Consider the following 18519-nt stretch of genomic DNA (forward strand, 5'->3'; position numbering starts at 1 on the left):
CGGAGTCTCACTGTGTCACCCAGGCTGGAGTGCAGCGCGCGATCTCGGCTCACTGCAAGCTCCGTCTCTTGGGTTCACGCCATTCTCCTGCCTCAGCCTCTCCAAGTAGCTGGGACTACAGGCGCCTGCCACCACGCCCGGCTAATTTTTTTGTATTTTCAGTAGAGACGGGGTTTCACCGTGGTCTCGATCTCCTGACCTCGTGATCTGCCTACCTCGGCCTCCCAAAGTGCTGGGATTACAAGCGTGAGCCACCGCGCCTGGCCAGGAAAACTTAAAACAAAAAGATTAAAACAAAACAAAACAAAACAAAAACAGGTCACCCAGACGGTTTGTTTAGTGATAAAGCCAAAATTTGAAGCCAAGTCTGACCCATGTGCTAAATCATGCTACCCTGAGTCTCCTCAAAATGTTGCACAATGTGTATTTCAAAAATGAAAACTAGGCCAGGCGCAGTGGCTCACGCCTGTAATCCCAGCACTTTGGGAGGCCGAGGCAGGCAGATCACGAGGTCAGGAGATCGAGACTATCATGGCCAACATGGTGAAATCCCATCTCTACTAAAAATACAAAAATTAGCTGGGCATAGTGGTGCGTGCCTGTAATCCAAGCTATTCCAGAGGCTGAACTAGGGAGTCGGAGGTAGCAGTGAGCTGAGATTGTGCCACTGCACTACAGCCTGGTGACAAAGCGAGACTCTGTCTCAAAAAAAAAAAAAAGAAAAGACAAGAAAACTATTCAGCTGGGCACAGTGGCTCACGCCTGTAATCCTAGCACTCTGGGAGCTAAGGTGGGAGGATCACGTGAGGGCAGGAGTTTTGAGACCCGGGATGCCAACGTGGCAAAACCTCATCTCTATTAAAAAAAAAAAAAAATTGCTAGGTGCGGTGGCTCACACCTATAATCCAAGCACTTTGAGAGGCCAAGGTGGGCGGATCACCTAAGTTTGGGAGTTCGAGACCAGCCTGACCAACATGGTGAAACCCCATCTCTACTAAAAATACAAGAATTAGCCAGGCGCAGTGGCACTCGCCTGTAATCCCAGCTACTTGGGAGGCTGAGGCAGGAGAATGGCGTGAACACGGAAGGCGGAGCTTGCAGTGAGCCGAGATTGCGCCACTGCCCTCCAGCCTGGGCGACAGAGCGAGAGACTCCGTCTCAAGAAAAAAAAAAAAAAAAGAAAAATACTCAAAGAAGCAAATATGGGAGGAAACTAACGTTTATATATATAAAGCTTTAGAGTGTGAATCCAAAAAGGAACAGAAATGATAATTAAAAAAAAAATATGAATGCTACCTCTGTGTACAGCTGACTCCAGGCACATTAACAAGTAGGAGAGCCTGGCTTCACGCGATCGCGGAAGGTTTTCCACATTGCACCGGTATTTCTTCAAGTCACTTTTACAGGATTTGGCCAATGAATAACTGACTTTATAATCCTGGGCAATCAGCTTTTGGCGGGTTGTAAGTGCTTCTCGACACTGAGGAAAGAGTACAGCAACAGCCGTGAGACCACTCATGTAACTTTACTGTTGACGTGTACCACTAAGATGAGCACAGCGACTCAGCCAAGTACATGTCAACAACTGCAGTTATTACCAACATATCTATCTTTAAGTTTGGTTAAAATGTTCACAATTGAGCTAAACTAGTGTGGCATGAGACAGGGGTAAGTGGGTGGGGAACCTAGAAATTCTGTAGTCACTTGCTAGTTGTTGCTGCAATAGCAGCTATCCAAAACATGTAAATATCTCACAGATCCCAATATGTTAACTTGACACACAGCATTCTTTTCCACTTTAACAATACCCCGAACATAAATTTCACTAGCATCAAACTGGCAACTAACATAACATTTGGGATATTCTGTTCAATGCTTTAAAATACAATTATTCAATTATTCTATATCATCTGAATAATAAGATTTGAATAAGATTGTTCAAATGATACAAGAAAAAGGAAATGAGAAACATTTCTTCAGCTACACAGGAAAGTAAATGACAAGATAGCAAAATTAATTATTTCAAAAGCCATCAACTATTCTTGCATTCATTCAGGGACAAAGAACTAAAAGAGGATGCTTAATGATATAGCTGCTGAAAAATTAAATAGCTAATTGCCTAGAAAGCACATTGATTTGGTTAACCTAAACTTCTTGAGGAGGCAGGGCTGGCCTTAGTGTGGTTTTATATAAAATTCTCTGATTTTACTCCCCAAACAAAGTAATATCTGAGAATTTTATATAAAATCACACTGAGGATTTTATATAAAACCACAGTGAGAGGCGGGTGGATCACCTGAGGTCAGGAGTTTGAGAGCAGCTTGGCCAACATGGTGAAACCCCGTCTCTACTAAAAATACAAAAATTAGCTGGGCGTGTTGTCAGGTGCCTGTAGTCATAGCTACTAGGGAGGCTGAGGCAGGAGACTTGCTTGAACCCGGCAGGCAGAGGCTACAGTGAGCCGAATCATGCCACTGCACCCCAGCCTGGGTGACAGAGAAAGACTCCACTCAAAAAAAAACAAAAACAAAACAAAACAAAAACACCTAAAAAAACCACCACAGTGAGAACCCTACTTGGCTTCTCACTATCTAGATATCACAATCAGGGTTTCATTTTCTTGGTTTCAGCCAAATATGCTTAAAACCCAAGTACCTCACCTCTGAAAGCGGTGAGCTTTATCAGTCATTTACGTTTCGGTATAAGATTATAAGAAATATTGTTTCAGAGAAATTGAGAAAGCTTTTTTTTTTTTTTTTTTTTTGAGACAGAGTCTCACTCTGTCACCCAGGCTGGAGTGCAGTGGTGCGATCTCAGCTCACTGCAACCTCCACCTCCTGGGTTCAAGTGATTTTCCTGCTTCAGCCTCCCGAGTAGCTGGGATTACAGGCGCCCACCACCACGGCCGACTAATTTTTGTATTTTTAGTAGAGACGGCGTTTCACCATCTTGGCCAGGCTGGTCTTGAACTCCTGACCTCGTGATCCACCTGCCTCAGCCTCCCAAAGTGCTGGGATTACAGGCGTGAGCCACCGTGTCTGGCTGAGAAAGCTTTTAAAAAACAAATAAAACATTCATTAGTTTCAAAATAATACTTACCTTTTCACTCATGGATTCTTCAAATTTATGGTTAAAGAGGCACTTATACACTCTGCCCTCACCAGCTTGTGTCTATAAGATGGAACATACACATTATTATTACTTTAGCTAAATAGTTATGCTGAACATTATCCACAATCTCATATAGAGCTTTCTATTAAACGATTATAATCGTACATACCTTTGGACAAACAGCGCTTCCATTTATAAAATTTAATAGGCTTTTAACAAAAACAGTGACTGCAGTAAAGACGAAAAAAATATTCCCATGATATTTGGAGTTTGTCATTTGTTCTCAGATGTATTTTGTTAATTAGGGAACCAAGAGAAGTGTTAGAGTCTGAGTCTTTTTTTTTTTTTTTTTTTTTGAGATAGAGTCAGTCTTGCTCTGTTGCCCAGGCTGGAGTGCAGTGGCACAATCTTAGCTCGGTGCAACCTCTGCCTCCTGGGTTCAAGCAATTCTCCTGCCTCAGAGCCCCAAGTAGCTGGGATTACAGGCCCCCGCCACCCTGCCCAACTAATTTTTTTATTTTTAGTAGAGATGGGGTTTCACCATATTGGTCAGGCTGGTCTCGAACTCCTGACCTCAAGTGATCTGCCTGCCTCGGCCTCCCAAAGTGCTGGGATTACAGGCGTGAGCCGCCGCACCCAGCCTCTGAGTCTTCTTTCTTACAAGTGTATGCTAGAGTTAACGAAACTCTTACATCAGTGGCTCTGATGGTTAAAGCTGTTAATGCAAACCAGCAGGCAGAGTGGAAGTGTACACAAGTTACTTTCAGTACTTTGTTGTAAGGATGGAGAGACCATTCTATTTAAAGACTTAGAAGGCTGTTCTGTAGAGTCAGCAGGTGGTAATCAAGGATTTGGTTTTAAAGATTAGCCACCTGCTGTTTTCTTCACCTTAGCCAAAAACACATAAATATATAATGCGTCAAAGTTTTAGCCATTGAATAGATGTAAATAAGATCCTGGGTAAAATAAAATTCCTATAGATAAAACAGACTTCCAAGAACTGAAATTGAGAAGTGAGATAAAGCAGAAAAAATACTAAGTGGAGATCATTAGAAGCCAGCTGTTAACCAAATGTTCAGTCATCAAGGTTGAGCATCCAGTTACCACTTTCTGCTATACTGGGACCAATTTCTTCTTCCATTTCTGTGGCTTTTCTACATGTGAGGTTTCTTGATGGCTTATTTTACGTTAGAATAGAGTATTAAAAAATATTTAAGTCACAGTGGCTCGTGCCTATAATCCTAGTACTTTCAGAGACAGAGGGAGGAGATCACCTCAGGCCAGGGGTTCAAGACCAGTCCGGGCAATACAGCAATGCCCCATCTCTACAAAAAATTTTTAAAAAAATTGGCCAGGCAAGATGGTGCTTGCCTATGGTTTTAGCTACTTGGGAGGCTGAGGCAGAAGAATCGCTTGAACCCAGAAGTTGGAGGCTGCAGTGAGCCATGATCACACCACTGCACTCCAGCCTGGGCACCACAGCAAGATCCTGTCTCAAAAATTGGGGAGGCTGAGCTGGAGCACTGCTTCAGGTCAGAAGTTCGTGACCAGCCTGGGCAACATAGCAAGACTCAATCTCTCAAAAAACAACACAATTAAATTAATTAAAACAAAATTATATATGTGTAAAAATAAAAGGAAGAAAAGAACAGTTTCTGAGCTGACTCACATTTTCACAAAAACGCTCCCGATCATCTCGGCAAGCAAAATATAAATGCCGGTCTAAGTGAAAGTCATCCGATGACAGCTCAGCCACCCGGAGAATGGCTTTCTTGCAGAGTTCAGAAACTTGAATCTTGGGTTCTCTTTCTTCTGCTTCTTTCACCAGGCCTTTCTCCAAGCATGATACCACCTCACCTTGTGAATGTGCATCCTAAAATAGCGAGGATATTAATATTTTAAAACTTTTATCACATGGGTTTCAAATAAACAACATTTGGCTACACACACACACACACACACACACACACACACACAAAGTAATAAAACCCCATCATAGAGTTGACTTATTAACGTTCTACCAAGAAATCAAGTAAGAACCAACCACATTGTGGAAGTTAAAGAAAATGCTCTCAATAATCTTCAGTTAGAATATAATACTTGCATGCTACAAATGGAAACAGAGATCCTGGAAAGTTTAAGTATTATAGTTTAGTTAGCACTAGAAATAAGAACCTGAATTTTTAAAAATTTAAAATGTCAAAAATTCATAAGAAACACAACAGGGCCAGGCATGGTGGCTCATGTCTGTAATTTCAGCACTTTGGAAGGCCGAGGCAGGTGGATCACCTGAGGTCAGGAGTTCGAGACCAGCCTGGCCAACATGGTGAAGGCCCATCTGTACTAAAAATACTAAAAATACAAAAAATTAGCCAGGCATGGTGGTGTGCGCCTGTAATCCCAGCTACTCAGGAGGCTGAGGCAGGAGAATCACTTGAACCCAGTAGGCGGAGGTTGCAGTGAGCCGAGATCGTGCCACTGCACTCCAGCCTGGGCGACAAGACAGAAACTCTGTAAAAAAAACACACACACACACACACACACAAAAAACCACATCGGCTCAAAGTTCTGGTCATAGTTCATGTCAAGACTGAAATTACACTGCTGAAATCTCTGTTCATTTGTCTCTAAAAACCAGGCATTTCCCAAATAACAGTGCTTGCTTTTTTTTTTTTTTTTTTTTTGAGACGGAGTCTCGCTCTTTCGCCCAGGCTGGACTGCAGTGGCGCTATCTCGGCTCACTGCACGCTCCCACTCCCGGGTTCACTCTATTCTCCTGCCTCAGTCTCCTGAGTAGCTGGGACCACAGGCGCCCGCCACCACGCCCGGCTAATTTTTTGTGTTTTTAATAGAGACGGGGTTTCACCGTGTTAGCCAGGATGGTCTCGATCTCCTGACCTCGTGATCCGCCCGCCTCGGCCTCCCAAAGTGCTGGGATTACTGGCGTGAGCCACTGCGCCCGGCCAACAGTGCTTTCAGTCAAGTTAAAAACCAACAAACCACATAATCCACTAAGAAGTTAGAGACTTTCTTGCTCCTTTCCCTACTCTGTGGTGTCCACAAACATCCCAATATGTAGAATCTGTTGTTTAATACTCACGTTGATGTTCTGGATTTATCTTAATGGGATTTAACAAGATTACCACTGTTTACACAAAACGCTTCTGAGAGTTTTCTTAAAAACCATCCAATTATCTTTAATTGTACACTTCATCATCCCCATAGCAACCACAAACATTCATTCATGCAAAATATGAGATAGTTCCCCTAAATATTTTCTATTCAAGAGTCCTAATCTATACTTACAAGATATGTTTCAACAATTTAAGGTATAACCACTAATATAGCAAACCAAAGCATCTTAAAATATAGTGCTATTAGCCCGGCACGATGGCTCATGCCTGTAATCCTAGCACTTTGGGAGGCCAAGGTGGGCGGATCACGAGGTCAAGAGTTCAAGACCAGTCTGGCCAACACAGTGAAACCCTGTCTCTACTAAAAATACAAAATATCAGCTGGATGTGGTGGTGTGCACCTGTAATCCCAGCTATTCGGGAAGCTGAGGAAGGAGAATCGCTTGAACCCAGGAGGTAGAGGTTGCAGGGAGCCGAGATTGCACCACTGCACTCCAGACTGGGAGGTGCAGTGCAAGGCTCTGTCTCAAAAAAAAAAAAAAGTATATATATATATATATATTATATTTTATATATATATTTTATATATAGTGCTATCATTTATACACACGCAATTAAAATCTTGTTATAATAAAATACCTATCTATGAAATAATCTGCATATAATAAAAAGATTCTGGCCAGGCGTGGTGGCTCATGCCTGTAATCCCAGCACTTTGGGAGGCCGAGGCGGGTGGATCATCTGAGGTCAGGAGTTCGAGACCAGCCTGGCCAACATGGTGAAACCCTGTCTCTACTAAAAATTCAAAAATTAGGTGGGTGTGGTGACACGTACCTATAACCCCAGCTACTCAGGAAGCTGAGGCGAGAGAATTGCTTGAATCTGGGAGGCGGAGGTTGCAGTGAGCTGAGTTAGTGCCACTGCACTCCAGCATAGACAACAAGAGTGAACTCCGTCTCAGGCAAAAAAAAAAAAAAAAAAAAAGATTCCTAAAACCAAGTAGCGTAACATCTACTTCAGACAAAATTTCAAATCAACCAAAGAATGTATTTTTTTCTATTTTAATTAAAGGATTTGTCTATAGCACCTTAATTTCCAAGTGTTTCCATGAAAGCTTTCGTGTTATCTCCTAACACACATATGAAGAAAGGACACAGCTCTGATATCTACTGCGGACATGAATGAACAGAGGCTCAGAGGAGTTAACTAACTCATTTGAGTTGTAGAACATGAAGTGTCTAGCTAACAGTCCATTATTTATTTATGGGGTTAATCTGGGTGAGTGGGTGGAGTCTATAAAACTCCTAAAACTTGTTTGTTGTTGTTGTTTAACTTTCATTTTTATTTATTTAAGAGACAGGGTCTTGCTCTGTTGCCCAGGCTGGAGTGCAGTGGAGGGATCACAGCTCACTGCAGTCCCAAGCTCCTGGGCTCAAGTGATTCTCCTGACTCAGCCTCCCAAGCAGCTGGGACTAGAAGCACACACCACCACCCTCAGCTATGGAACACTGTGTTTTTTACTGTACCTTTCCTATGTTTATATGTACTTATATACACAAATACTATACTTGTGTTATAAATGTCTCCAGTATTTCAGCATAGCCACATGCTGTACAGGTTTGTAGCCTAGGAGCAATAGGCTATACTACATAGCCTAGGTGTGTAGTAGGCTATACTCTATGATACTCACACAGTGATCAACTTGCCTAACAACACATTTCTCAGAACGTGTCCTGGTATTCTCATTGTATCCTCATCGATAAGCAACGTGTGACTAAATGTAACTACACTGGCATTAGGTCATAACAACACTTCTGGCTGGGCACGGTGGCTCACGCCTGTAATCCCAGCGCTTTGGGAGGCCGAGGCAGGTGGATCACAAGGTCAGGAGATAGAGACCATCCTGGCTAACACTGTGAAACCCCGTCTCTACTAAAAATACAAAAAATTAGCCGGGCATGGTGGCAGGCACCTGTAGTCCCAGCCACTCAGGAGGCTGAGGCAGGAGAATGGCATGAACCTGGGAGGCGGAACTTGCAGTGAGCCGAGATTGTGCCACTGCACTCCAGCCTGGGCGACAGAGTGAGACTCCGTCTCAACAACAACACCAAAATAAAAAAAAACAATACTTCTCTACTAGATGTTTCCATTCATTGTAACTTTCAGATAAATATTTTTTTCAAATAAGGGTATTTCAGGAGTTCCTCGGAGTCTCTGAGCTTTTAGTGCATTGGAGTTTATAACTGAAAGGCATATAAATATTTGACAGCGAAGACTGCATGGTTAGTTACCAAACATTAATTAAAGTGAGGTGAACTACACACCTGCACATTATGAGAAAATAAGCTCATTTAGGTTTAAAAAGTTATTAATACACAGGCTTGGCATATGAGTAATAAATTATCCTATAAATGAACTTACAATAATTTTTTGTTAACTTTATTATGGTAGAAAAACATCTGCTTAAAATCTACTGCCATTGCCTTGATCCGTTTTTAGAAGTTTGATAGGCAGTATTTTTCTTCCCCATATTCCGTGTCCTTTAACAACAACGGCCCCCACAAAAAAAAACAAAAAAAAAAACCAACAACAGATGCTAACACTAATCTCTAAATAGTAGGCGAGAACTCAGTTTTTATCTCTGCTATAAACCATTCTCTATTTCAATCCTTCTGCTGTCTTCTGTAATCTACCTCACTAGATAAAGGAAAAAGGAATATTAGAATTACTCAAATTAACTGGTTAAAAGCAGGAAATAATAAATGAAATAATAAATAATAAATGATACAGCTACCGAGAGAAAAGCATAAAAGTACTAATACTGTGGCACATGTCCGCAATTAAGTTCCTTTGTTGGCAGCCACAGTCTTTTTCTTCAGATGATGTAAATCATTTATATCTTTACTTTTGGAAATCTGCCCTTTCATTTTGACAACATTTATTATTATATAAAATTCTAAAGCCTTTATTAATGTATCTTCTTTGTTCTAAAATTTATATTAACATTTGAAAAAATCATAGTTTTGAAATCATGACATTTATGTGTTCATACAAAGGCAAGGTACAAACAGATTAACCATGAATCCTCTCCTCGGTCCTCTGGAGGAGGCCAAGTCAAAGCCAGTCATAGAAGAGTTTCAAGCTTCAGTGGCAGCAAATTTGAAACTGACAAGCCTGTTGTTTTCTGTGTTCAGAAGCTGCTTTGTTAATTTTCAGTATAAGTTTTCTATCTGAATAACTGGCTTCAGAAAAGCAAACTACGGGTTTTAGAAAAAGGCAGAGAAGAGCTGAGAACATGCCTCCCTCTTTTTTAAATTTGGCTGTAGTACAGAGTGAATGATATAGGAAGGAAGGTGTTTTTTCAGAAGTTCATGTGTGAGTCTATCTCACCGTCCCCAAAATACAAGAAAGCCTTTGATGCTGGTGTAGTGACCTGGTATAAACTGAAATTTCACCCAACTGGTAGACATACTGAAAGATTAAATGACAAAAGTGTCATTTCTATCTTTAGTCCATAGGAACAATTTTTATTATTTTATCTAAGTGAATAAACAATCCTGTCGTGCCTTTTGGCTCCAGCAGTACTATTTTCTGCAATCGTTTCAGTCACTACAGACTTAGTAACTCATACATGGAGGTGACAATTCAGAGAGCTAGAAGGAGGCTAATCAGCTGCTACCTTGGTGGTTACCAGGCAAGAACTACTCCACAGAGGGACTGAAACGCTTGGCTTTACTGCATGGAGCACTCATCACGAGGGTGAAAAAGCCTCATTTCTGATTCCTGAAAAGTATGTTTGGAACCCTGTGGAGACTTTAAAAGGAGCCAGGTTTGGAATTGGATATAATTTTCAACATCCTAAATAAAGTCAGAAGAGCTTCCTGAATCATCAGTGACTTAAGTGCTTTTGTGTCATTTTGAGAGTCTGCTGGGAAGGAAAACACTGCGTTCTTTATTAAAGCTGTCCTTTCTTTATTTGCCTGAAAGATTTATGCCAAGCCACAGAGTTTTTCAAGACCAACTCAGTGGTACACTCGGATAAGGGATCAGGCCCTGTGCTCATATTAAGGAAAGGGCATCAGGGCTTTGGTGACAGCCAGACAATACACAGCAAGAAACCCTTCATTTGAACGGTGTGCTCAGTTCCAGGATCCTAACACCATGTCCCCTTTGTCAGTGATAGACGCCTGCCAACCATGAACAAATAGAGGGCAAAGGGACAAATGGGTTTTATTTTCCATCATATTTCCTGAACAGTAGATTAATGAGCAGCAGCAACTAATAGGTGATGCCACAGGTCTCAGGGTCCCTCTCCCACTGGCATCCATTACTTTTCAGGAGTTTTTTTCATTTTTGCTGAGCAAACAAATTCAGAATAAACCTGGCCAGATCTCTATTGTGACCTTCTGTTCAGCAGACTAAGTCAAAAAATAAGATCAGATATAACTGTGGAAGAAGAAACTAGCTAGGTAGTTATTTTCTTTCCTGTCTTTACTAAAATCAGTTCTTCTGAGATGAAGATTAATAATATATCACATTTAGAGAGGACTTTTCTTCCAACTAACTAGAAGTACCTTCACATATCTTAAAATTTTCTGATATTTTATAGATGGACAGCAGCCAGTGTGCTAAGTAATTTTTTTTTTTGTTTTTTTTGAGACGGAGTCTCACTCTGTCTCCCAGGCTGGAGTGCAGTGGCGCGATCTCGGCTCACTGCAAGCTCCACTTCCTGGGTTCATGCCTTTCTTCTGCCTCAGCCTCCCAAGTAGCTGGGACTACAGACACCTGCCACCACGCCCGGCTAATTTTGTTTTTGGTTTTTTTTTTTTTTTTTTTTTGTATTTTTAGTAGAGACGGGGTTTCACCGTGTTAGCCAGGATGGTCTTGATCTCCTGACCTCGTGATCTGCCCACCTCAGCCTCCCAAAGTGTTGGGATTACAGGCATGAGCCACCGCGCCCGGCCAGTAATTTTTTTTATACTAACAGTGGGACATATGCAGAGAAAGATTACTGAACTTGGCCGGGACCGGTGGCTCACGTCTGTAATCCCAGCACTTTCGGAGGCCGAGGCGGGCAGATCACTTGAGGTCAGGAGTTCAAGATCAGCCTGGCCGACATGGCGAAACCCCAGCTCTATTAAAAATACAAAAATTAGCCAGGCGTGGTGGTGCATGCCTGTAGTTCCAGCTACTCAGGAGGCTGAGGCAGGAGAATCACTTGAACCCAGGAGGCTGAGGCTGCAATGAGCGGAAATCCCACCACTGTACTCCAGCCTGGGAAACAGAGGGAGACTCTGTTTCAAAAAAAAAATATTAGAGAACTCAGGTCTCTCCTTTGCCAGAGGCACATTACAGGTAACCAGCAGCTGGTCTAATATTGTGAAGATAACACCACTCTTTGCAGGTATTAATTCCTCTGCTTCCCATACAGTACTGAAAAATTTTGCTACAAACACATGAAATACATTGTCAACCAGCCTTAGCTCTTAGGGCTGTCTGGACAAGTTTCTTCAATTTCAACTTAAGGTCACTCCAGTCCTAAATTTTTCCCATGTCAGTTATACAAAGCTTTTCATACACCAAATTTTAAGACCCCTTTGTTGAAGCTAACGTAGTATTAGATACCTTTTCTCCAAGCCGAATACTGCCACATTTCAGAATGTTGATGTCATTTTTGCAGTCATCCATGAAGCCACAGATTAAACGGTAATCACTAAAAATGATGGCCGTCATCTTGGTAATGTACTGGTGACACTGATACTCAGTGATGTTGCCTCGGTGATCCACCAAGCAGGAAACCATGTAACCTTTTCCAACCGGTTCATCAGCACATTCTTTAATCTGCTCAAAATAAAGTAGCTGTTTTACAAAAGTGTTCCATGCTCGTATCAAACAATATTTATCAAAGAGAAAAATGTCTGAAATTTTCCTGTTGATTTCCTAATTCTTTACTTGGAAGAAAAAAAGAAAAATGCTTAGAAATATATCCAAGGAAAACATTTAGGAATACATTCATTTTAAAGAAAAATAGTGTCATCCCTACTCAGACTGTTGTGCCTTCTAGAAAAACCTGATTAATGTGTTTTGCAAAAGAATACCTACATATCAAATGCTTAGGTAATGCTCACTTCTAAATGCAGTGAAAAGAGCTGTTAACATCTACAGCTTTGGCATGGTCCTATGAAGTCCTTGTAACCATGCAAAAAATGCAGGAGACAGCGAGGGGATGAATCTAGGGAGGAAGATTTGACAAACAGGTGCAAAAGTGAAGTCCAGCTGCATACCCTAAGCCAAGCTACACAGAAAACTATTATTGTTAGGCAAACCTAAGGGCCAAGGAGAGACAGGAGGGAAGGTGTAATATTACTTCTTGACATGACATTATTATTATTTATCTTTTGAGGCAGAGCCTTGCTCTGTCGCCCAGGCTGGAGTGGAATGACATGATCTCGGCTCACTGAAACCCCTGGCACCCAGGTTCAAGTGATTCTCCTGCCTCAGCTTCCTGAGTAGCTAGGATTATAGGAGCTCACCTCCATGCCAGGCTAATTTTTGTATTTTTAGTAGAGACGGAGTTTTGTCATGTTGGCCAGGCTGGTCTCGAACTCCTGACCCCACGTGACCCACCCACCTTGGCTTCCCAAAGTGCTGGGATTATAAGCGTGAGCCACCTCACCTGGCCTACTTCTTGACATGACATTAATGTGTTCTAAATTAACTATGGATTGAACATGTGTTTTTGAAATCAGTAGAATCCAAACTTAACCGCTGTGGTCTGGGACACATGTGGTCTGGGAAACATGTTTAAAATAATGTTCAGTGCAGTTTAGCAAGAAGTTTGGGAAGGGGAACCTAGTTTGGATGGTTTAGACATATGATCTAGTGGATCAGGCACAGAGTGATTCTGCATGGTGGTGTTCCTGCAAAGTGCATTCCAAACCACAAAATGCTAATAAAGCAAACTAGCCCCCAAATGCTGAAATTCAGGCAAAAGTAAAACCTAATAATAGAATTATAAGCTTAAATTATAAAACAGAGAAGGGTGTTTGGAAAAGAGCCTATTGCATTTGGGGAAATTAAGACAAACTGAAGTGGCAATTCTGACAAGAGGAAGGAGTTAAATGGGAATGTTTATTTTGAATATAAACAAGAAACAGTGCTTTATTTGTCCTTTGAATGCAATAGAGAGCATTCTCCCCATTAGGCCTATCTATCACAAGCATGCCCATAGGGCAAAACAAACACAATCTCCTCTTCCAAAAGGTGCTGGATGAAGGACACACCACCGAGGAATTATCCTATAGGCAACAGGTTGTCTTCACCTCTAACTCCAGTATCAAATCCAGACCACGTAAATAACTCAGTTCAGAAAAGAAAGTTGTGTTTACTTCTAAAGGGGCAAACTTGGGAATTTAGTAAATAATAGTCTCACACTGGTTTCAGAGACAGCAGAGATTTTCAACAGTCAAGATGAATGAAATTCTTTCAGTTTAACCCCAAGTAAGTTTTTGTGATGCCTAAAAGAGGGCCATGGCTGGGCACGGTGGCTCATGTCCGTAATCCCATCACTTTGGAAGACCGAGGGGGGTGGATCACTTGAAGTTAGGAGTTTGAGACCAGCCTCGCCAACATGGCGAAACCCCATCTCTACTAAAAATACAAAAATTGGCCAGGTGCGGTGGCTCATGCCTGTAATCCTAGCACTTTGGGAGGCTGAGGCAGGTGGACTGCCGGAGCTCAGGAGTTCGAGACCAGCCTGGGCAACACGGTGAAAGCCTGTCTCTAATAAAATACAAAAAATTAGCCAGGTGTGGCGGCGTGCGCCTGTAGTCCCAGCTACTTGGAAGGCTGAGGCAGGAGAATTGCTAGAACCCGGCAGGCGGAGGTTGCAGTGAGCTGAGATTGAGCCATTGCATTCCACCCTGGGCAACAGAGCGAGACTACTTCTCTAAACAAATAAACAAAAAACCCAAAATTAGCTGAGTGTGGTGCCACGCATCTGTAGTCCCAGCTACTTGGGAGGCTGAGGCAGGAGAATTGCTTGAACCCAGGAGGTGGAGGTTGCAGTGAGCCAAGATTGCACCACTGCACTTCAGCCCCGGTGACAATGAGAGACTCCATCTTAAAAAAAAAAAAAAAAAAAAAAGAGGGCCAGGACTGTATTTCCTGGAAAAGATTTTTTTTTTTTTTTTTTTTTGCCGAACAAAACAGACTTAAGTTTGAAAAGTGAAAGGAGGAATAGATGCTTGAAAATCCCAGCACTTGTAATTCAACCACAGAAAAACACTGGATACAAAACAAGACTAGTGGCAGACACCCACTTAATGAAACAGAGAAACATTTTTCCAGGCCCTAATATTGAGCAACCAAAAGTTTTAAAACATCTCAAGAGGCCAGGAGCGGTGGCTCACACCTGTAATCCCGGCACTTTGGGAGGCCCAGGCGGGCGGATCACGAGGTCAGGAGACTGAGACCATCCTGGCTAACACAGTGAAACCCCATCTCTACTAAAAATACAAAAAAAAAATTAGCCATGTGTGGTAGCAGGTGCCTGTAGTCCCAGCTACTTGGGAGGCTGAGGCAGGAGAATGGCATGAACCTGGGAGGCGGAGCTTGCAGCGAGCAGAGATCGCGCCACTGCACTCCAGCCTGGGTTACAGAGCAAGACTCCGTCTCAAAAAAAAAAAAAAAAAAAAAAACTCAAGAGAAACCAGGAGCACATTTTGAACTGTAGCCTCAATAAGAAACTAAATGTAAATTTTAGCTTCAATCACTTGAGATTTTACTGAAACAGAGATGTGGCACCTACTCATTTTTCAGCTCACTATCCATTACAACAGGGCGTGGTGTTAGAATGAGAAGTTTGCATGTTTCTTCATTCTGCTGGATAGCACTTTTTCCTTCTATCTTACTAAACTTCTAAGATGAACAGCAAAAAAGGGGCACTAAATCATCATCAACATATTTAAGAATAGGAGTAAACTCTGAAGTGGCTGGGGAGCAGATTGAAAAGGTACCATGAGCAAAATGCTGCAGTCACTCTATTTTTTGACTGGAGCCAGAAGGAAAGCAGGCAGGATTTAGCTCAATCCTGGAGATTAAGTTTGGTTTGTATTAATAGTTTACAGGTATTCTTGTGATGTTGTTTTTCTCCCTGGAAGTAGGATTCCAAAATTAAGAAAGATGATAGAATGAAAATACAGAATGAAATGTTTTGCTGGAGACTGTGTTCTTCCTGATATTTAATTTCCCTGACTCCAGTATAATCTTCCTGTGGGAGGGAGAAGTGTCCTTGTTAATGCTAATCTTTTACAAAACTAGAACACCCCAAAAGGTCACAGAGGACCATCGTGATACACACATTATATGGAAACCAGCCTAATGCAAAGAGTGAAATTATTCTAGTGAATATGTACATACTCAACTAAATTTCCCTGGGCCAATCAAACTGGTATGTATTTAATGGGACACAAAATGGGGCAAAACAAACATATGCGGGTATATATATATGTATCTCTCCAATGTGTTTTTTAAAAAAAAACTACTTATGGCCGGGCACGGTGACTCATGCCTGTAATCCCAGCACTTTGGGAGGTTGAGGTGGGTGGATCACATGAGGTCAGGATTTGAGACCAGCCTGGCCAACATGGCAAAACCCTGTCTCTACTAAAAATACAAAAATTAGCCAGTCCTGGTGGCATGTGCCTGTAATCCCAGTTACTTGGGAGGCTGAGGCAGGAGAACTGCTTGAACCCAGGAGGCAGAGGTTGCAGAGAGCCAAGGTGGCACCACTGCACTCCAGCGTGGGCGACAGAGCAAGACTCCATCTCAAAAAAAAAAATCTACTTACAATTGTATAGTACCACAATATAGAGGGAAAATACAAACATTTAAAGTTCAAGCCTAGGAATAATTTGTTAGTATTTAGTTCAGTTATTAAGCAAACATCTTTGCCCTTGATATTTTAAAGTTAGAGGTTTAGTCCTATAGCTAGCTAAGGGAGTTTGAGATGTAGAATATTAAAGCTAGGAGCTAAAGATAAATTTTTCAACGATATGCCTTTCTGCTCGGAAGCCCCAAGGTAAATATGAGGGGTCACTGCTTTAAAAGAATAAAACATAACTGATCTAGTATTAGAAAGTTTGAGAAAACAGGTTCTACGAGTCCCCATAATGACACAAGGAACACAGGCTGATGGTTTATCTGGATGAGACAGGGTCTTCCTTAAGAGCTCTGAAGAATGTGGCCCTGACTTAATTCATCAATAGGGCCAGCTTGAGGACAATTAGTATGGTGTGAGATCTATGACTGTTAATTCTGGGGTGGAAAAATAGCAACTGTTTTCTCTGTGATTCTCATATTTCAGTATGCAGAAACTCTGGCTTCCTGGAGTTTCTATTATTGATTCAAAAAAAAAAAAAACCGTTAAAAAAAAAAGAAATTTAAAGTACCACAATTTTCACTAATATTATTTGTTGTTTACACTGGGCCAAGATAAATAATTTTTAAAATCTTAACCTTTTTAACACTAACTCCTATTATTTGAAGTATATACCTCTGTGGGTCAATTGATCCAGCTGCATAGCCAAAACAGGAATGCTGACAGACCTCCTGTAACCAGGCTGATATGCTTCAGACACAGCATGTTGTCCAATGTGTGAGAGTAGCACTGATACCTCAGCACTTTTACTTGCTGTTTTGAGACCAATAGAACCTGATTTCCAACTGCCTCAATCAATAGTATCCTAATGTAAGCGTAGGTGGACATTAACAAAAAGAGTCTAATTACACCCCCCAACTTCCTAATTTTCAACCAAGACAGATGTGAATTCTAAGAAAAGTAATGTAACTGAGTCATTCTTCTCATAAGGGCTGGTCTGGTAATTTTCTCCTCTAAGCCATTAGTTGTCTACAAAATTCTTTGACAACTTACCTCTGTTATAGTAGATTTGCAAACCTCTCTGGCCACAGATTCAAATTTGGGATCTGTAGTTAGGTTCAGCTTATAATTCCACAACAACTAGATAGGAGAGGAAAAAAAAAAACAAAGAAAAACTCCAGTTAGAACAGTACGAAATTTATTATCAACGTTAAATGACAAAAGCCAATTATACAGAGTCAGACAAAGCATATTCACATCAGATAACAAACAAAGTAGGATAAAATGCCATCACATTCCTAGATAAAAGGAAAAAAATGCAAGCCAAATAAAAGGATGACTATTCAGATATATTTTTGTCGTTTTTACTAAAGGACAATTTTTTTTTTTTTTTTTTTTTTTTTTGAGACAGAGTTTCACTCTTGTTGCCCAGGCTGGAGTGCAACGGCGTGATCGTGGCTCACTGCAACCTCCACCTCTCGGGTTCAAGCGATTCTTAAATGACAATTTTTTTAGAGCTATAAATTAAAAACCATTAAAAAGTCAAGAAAAAATGAAAAATTAAGATCCTTGGTAAGGTTTTCAAGGAAAATATAAATAGGTTATATGAGCTAAATTCTGCTTGAACCAAAAAGTCTAATCCAGAAGCTCAGATTTGGTGGATTCAGTCTCAGATCTCACAATCAACAGTGCTTTCATAGATCGGTTTCATGGAGGAGAGTCGCCCAGGTTCTAGTTTCTAGGCATATTTATCTTCATTCATTCATTCATTTAAAAAAAAATTGCCAGGCGCGGTGGCTGACGCCTGTAATCCCAGCACTTTGGGAGGCAGAGGCGGGCGGATCACGAGGTCAGGAGATCGAGACCATCCTGGCTAACACAGTGAAACCCCGTTTCTACTAAAAAATACAAAAAATTAGCCGGCGTGGTGGCAGGCGCCTGCAGTCCCAGCTACTCGGGAGACTGAGGCAGGAGAACGGCGTGAACACCGTAGGCAGAGGTTGCAGTGAGCCGAGATAGCGCCACTGCACTCCAGGATGGGCAACAGAGCAAGACTCTGTCTCAAAAAAAAAAAAAAAAATTTGTAGAGATGGGATCTCACTGTGCTGCCAGGCTGGTCTTGAACTCCTGGCCTCAAGCAATTCCCCTGCCTTGGCCTCCCAAAGTGCTGGGATTACAAGTGCGAGCCAGCATGCCCAGCCTCTTGATTCCCTTAAAACACTTGACACATACACTATAAGGTCTACTTTTTTTTTTTTTTTTTGAGACAGAGTTTCCCTCTTATTGCCCAGGCTGCAGTGCAATGGCGCGATCTCGGCTCACCACAACCTCTGCCTCCCAGGTTCAAGCAATTCTCCTGCCTCGGCCTCCCGAGTAGCTGGGATTACAGGCATG

The 18519-nt window shown here is 41.7% G+C and overlaps 1 protein-coding gene across 5 annotated transcripts in view, besides 2 other annotated features; it reads right to left on the minus strand.

Moving 5' to 3' along the window:
• GLG1 (golgi glycoprotein 1) overlaps positions 1–18519 on the minus strand; it is a 159675-nt gene that overhangs the window by 44221 nt on the left and 96935 nt on the right. For 4 of the 5 annotated variants that reach the window (NR_027264.2, NM_001145666.2, NM_012201.6 and 1 more), the window contains 5 exons: positions 17179–17265; positions 11871–12086; positions 4781–4984; positions 3100–3171; positions 1297–1480 (listed from right to left, as the gene is read on the minus strand). Coding sequence is in view for 3 of the 5 variants with exons in the window: in NM_001145666.2 (NP_001139138.1) it covers positions 1297–1480; positions 3100–3171; positions 4781–4984; positions 11871–12086; positions 17179–17265 (763 nt within the window). In the remaining 2 variants the exon portion in view is untranslated. The remainder of the gene's footprint in view (positions 1–1296; positions 1481–3099; positions 3172–4780; positions 4985–11870; positions 12087–17178; positions 17266–18519) is intronic. The other variant, NR_027265.2, reaches the window with a different exon arrangement.
• Positions 3701–4376: an enhancer, noted in NCBI's record as "NANOG hESC enhancer chr16:74529259-74529934 (GRCh37/hg19 assembly coordinates)". NCBI's record gives its function as "activates a minimal SCP1, AML or CMV promoter by ChIP-STARR-seq in naive H9 embryonic stem cells {active_cell/tissue: H9 hESC(naive)}" and the evidence as "EXISTENCE:reporter gene assay evidence [ECO:0000049][PMID:30033119]".
• Positions 14027–14526: an enhancer, noted in NCBI's record as "H3K4me1 hESC enhancer chr16:74539585-74540084 (GRCh37/hg19 assembly coordinates)". NCBI's record gives its function as "activates a minimal SCP1, AML or CMV promoter by ChIP-STARR-seq in naive H9 embryonic stem cells {active_cell/tissue: H9 hESC(naive)}" and the evidence as "EXISTENCE:reporter gene assay evidence [ECO:0000049][PMID:30033119]".

The sequence above is a fragment of the Homo sapiens genome, chromosome 16 (assembly GCF_000001405.40).
Source record: "Homo sapiens chromosome 16, GRCh38.p14 Primary Assembly".
NCBI classification, from domain to species: Eukaryota; Metazoa; Chordata; class Mammalia; order Primates; family Hominidae; genus Homo; species Homo sapiens.